The following is a 3203-nucleotide window of genomic DNA, read 5'->3' on the forward strand; positions in this document are numbered from 1 at the left end:
TAGACTATATACTTGCATTTTGTATGTGTATTTATTTAAATCCACATATATGTTATAGCGTATGGTGCTACAGAAGAGGACCTCACAATTAATTGTCCAGTCCCAGACACTTTGGAGAGAATAGACATGCTGTTATAATAATTATTATTATTTTTGGAGATAGTGTCTGGCTCTGTGGCCAGGCTGGAGTGCAATGGCATGATCTCGGCTCACTGCAACCTCTACCTCTTGGGTTCAAGTGCCTCTCCTGCCTCGGCCTCCTGAGTACCTGGGATTACAGGTGCCCGCCACCACGCCTGGCTCTTTTTTGTATTTTTAGTAGGAATGGAGTTTCTCCATGTTGGCCAGGCTTGTCTTGAACTCCTGACCTCAGCTGATCCACCCGCCTCAGCCTCCCAAAGTGCTGGGAATACAGGCCTGAGCCACTGCACTCGGCCTCTCATGTGCCTTTTTAAATTGATGGGAAAATGACACCCAGGATAATTTATGGCCATTGTGGGAATTATTGGAAATCTTTAAGACTGTTTTTCTTACAAAACCACAATTGTAGGATTAAACAGTCTGAATGGGATGCTAGCACGTAGAGCCTTCTAAACTCTCTTTCTCTTCTTTTTTTGGGGAATTTGGGATCTGCCTACTGATTACAATTAATTGGTTTTCTTAAAAAACTGTTTGGTTAAGATTTTTTTTTTTGACAAGGTCTCACTCTGTTGCCCAGGCTGGAGTACAGCAGTGGTGTGAACATGGCTCACTGCAGCCTCAATCTTCTGAGCTCAAGGGATTCTCCCACCTCAGCCACCCAAGTAGCTGGGACTACAGATCCATGCCACCATGCCCGGCTAATTTTTTAAAAAAGAAGCAGGGCGTTGGTGGCTCACTGGTGTAATCCCAGCACATTGGGAGGCCAAGGCAGGTGGATCACTTGAGGTTAGGAGTTCAAGACCAGCCTGGCCAACATGGTGAAACCCTGTTTCTACCAAAAATATAAAAATTAGCCAGGCATGGTGGCGGGTGGCTATAATCGCAGCTACTCAGGAGGCTGAGGCATGAGAATCGCTTGAGCCTGGGAGGCAGAGGTTGGAGTGAGTTGAGATCATGCCACTGCACTCCAGCCTGGGTAACAGAGCCAGATACCATCCCCACCCCTCAAAACAAATGTTTTGTAGAGATAGGGTTTTGCCATGTTGCCCAGGTTGGTCTCGAGCCCCTGGGCTCAAATGATCCTCCTGCCTTGGCCTCCCAAAGTGTTGGAATTGTAGGCATGAGTCACTGCTCCCACCAAGAATTTTTTTCTTTAAATTCCTGGTTTAATAAGGACTTGTTTATTTTGAGGAAAAAAGGTCCCAAACATGGAGCTGTTCACAAAAATAACCCACAGTATCAACTTTAGAAAACACATTTTAAGAGTATAACACTAATTATTTTTCTGAGGATGCATTTGACATGCCAACTCTCATTCACAAAAATACATTGTTAGATTTTTGTTGAACTGCCCCACACAGCACACTGACATGGGGTGTAACACACATACTTCTAACTCCAAGCTGCTTTCAGGAGCTACTCAACTCAATGAGATTGCCTTTGCAGTTAGGGAAGCAACTATTGAACTTATGTATAAATGAAAAGAACTGTATTCCCTGCATAACAAGAGATTATTTTGGAGACAGTTGATAAAAACCATACATCCTTTTTACTGTTAAGTCATAAGGAGGTATCTAAATTAAAAGCAAAAATTGCAGGGTAAGACTTAAGAAAACTTCTAGGAGCATCAAGGGAAGTGAAAATGGAACTAGGTGCAGGGCAATATGAATTAATGAATGTGGGAAGGACAAGGATGGGGAGAACAGTAAGCATGTGCTGAAGATGCTAAGGGAGAGGATCTGGTGAAAAATTTGATGTTAGACAAGCACCTAGGTAAAGAAACAATGGGATAAGATTTCTCAACCCCACTATGTGCTTAAGAGTCATCCTGGCCATTCGCCCTGTCTCTGTCATCCTCTCCTTCCTCAGCCCCTTTTTCATCATCCTTGATCAACTCCAGCTGGTTGTCCCCCTGATCTTCATTATCATCATCACACAGTAGGTCCCCCTCCTCAACAGAGTCATCTGCACCCCCCTCAGACTCCATCTTCACGTGAGTCTTATCCTTCTTCGAGGAGCTGCTGGTCTGCTCCTCTTCAGACTTAGCATTCTTTACCTCTACTCCTTGCTTGCAATGTTCCTTTTCAATTTTTTCCAGGTTTTCCAGGAGAGAATCCACTTTCTGTTTTATCTGGGTCAACTCCTGCTTAATGGCCTGAAGGTCATCTCCTTTCAGCTTTCCAGACTTGGAAGATCCCCGCTTTCCACTCTTAGAATTGAAGCCACTTTTGCCCCTTCGTGAGGTGTTTCCTGATATGCGCTGGCGTTTCGAGGGCACTACAGCCAGAGCAATGGGAGGAGGAGGAGGTACACGTGCTGGGAAACTGTACATCCCACCATAATAATCCCGTTGCAGGTTATAGTCCAAGTCAAAAGAGGAGCCGTACATCTCTGCTGCTGATCGTTTCACACCTGCGTTTCCTCGGTTCACTTTTGGCTCTGCAGCCAGGTTAATATCTACAACCTGGCTAGCAATCATTCTGCCATCCTCTCCTGCTACAGCAGCCCGGGCATTTTTCTCCTTATCATATTGAACGAAGGCAAAGCCCTTATGAACAGAGCAGCCCGCAATTTTGCCATACTTGGAAAAGATCGCCTCCACATCCGATTTCTTGACAACAAGAGTGTTGAGATTCCCAATGAACACACGGGAGTTCATGGAGTGAGGATCCATCTTGTTGGTAACGTTGCTGGCCATTGTGTTGGATGATAAGGTTTCTCAAAAAGCCAAAAACAGGAGGCGGGAGGGAGAAGAGATTCGATTCTAAGTCTCCTACTGCCGGGTTCTACGTGGAGAAGCTGACTGCGGCTCGAGGCCAGAAATGCAGCCAAACCAGCTCAGTCTTCGTCTCTTCACAAAATGGCTCCCAACAAGAATTCTGAAATGACGTAAAGAAAAGCACAATCAACATTTTTGAAATAAAGACAAAACTGCATTTAGAAAAAAAAATCAAAGCTTCAAAGTGTTCATATGAAAAAAAGAAAAAAAAGACAGGATATAGCTCTGCTCTGTCGTAGGCTGCACTGTCACCATGCTACATCGGCTGACTGTAGGTCCCATG

General features: G+C 44.7%; 1 protein-coding gene across 1 annotated transcript; it reads right to left on the reverse strand.

The window, feature by feature from the left end:
* Positions 1–1285: 1285 nt before the first annotated feature.
* HNRNPCL4 (heterogeneous nuclear ribonucleoprotein C like 4) lies at positions 1286–3003 on the reverse strand. Its single transcript, NM_001302551.2, has one exon. It carries the CDS (start codon positions 2837–2839, stop codon positions 1958–1960), a length of 882 nt encoding a protein of 293 aa, NP_001289480.1. The 5' UTR covers positions 2840–3003; the 3' UTR covers positions 1286–1957.
* Positions 3004–3203: the final 200 nt, after the last annotated feature.

The sequence above is a fragment of the Homo sapiens genome, chromosome 1 (assembly GCF_000001405.40).
Source record: "Homo sapiens chromosome 1, GRCh38.p14 Primary Assembly".
NCBI classification, from domain to species: domain Eukaryota; kingdom Metazoa; phylum Chordata; class Mammalia; order Primates; family Hominidae; genus Homo; species Homo sapiens.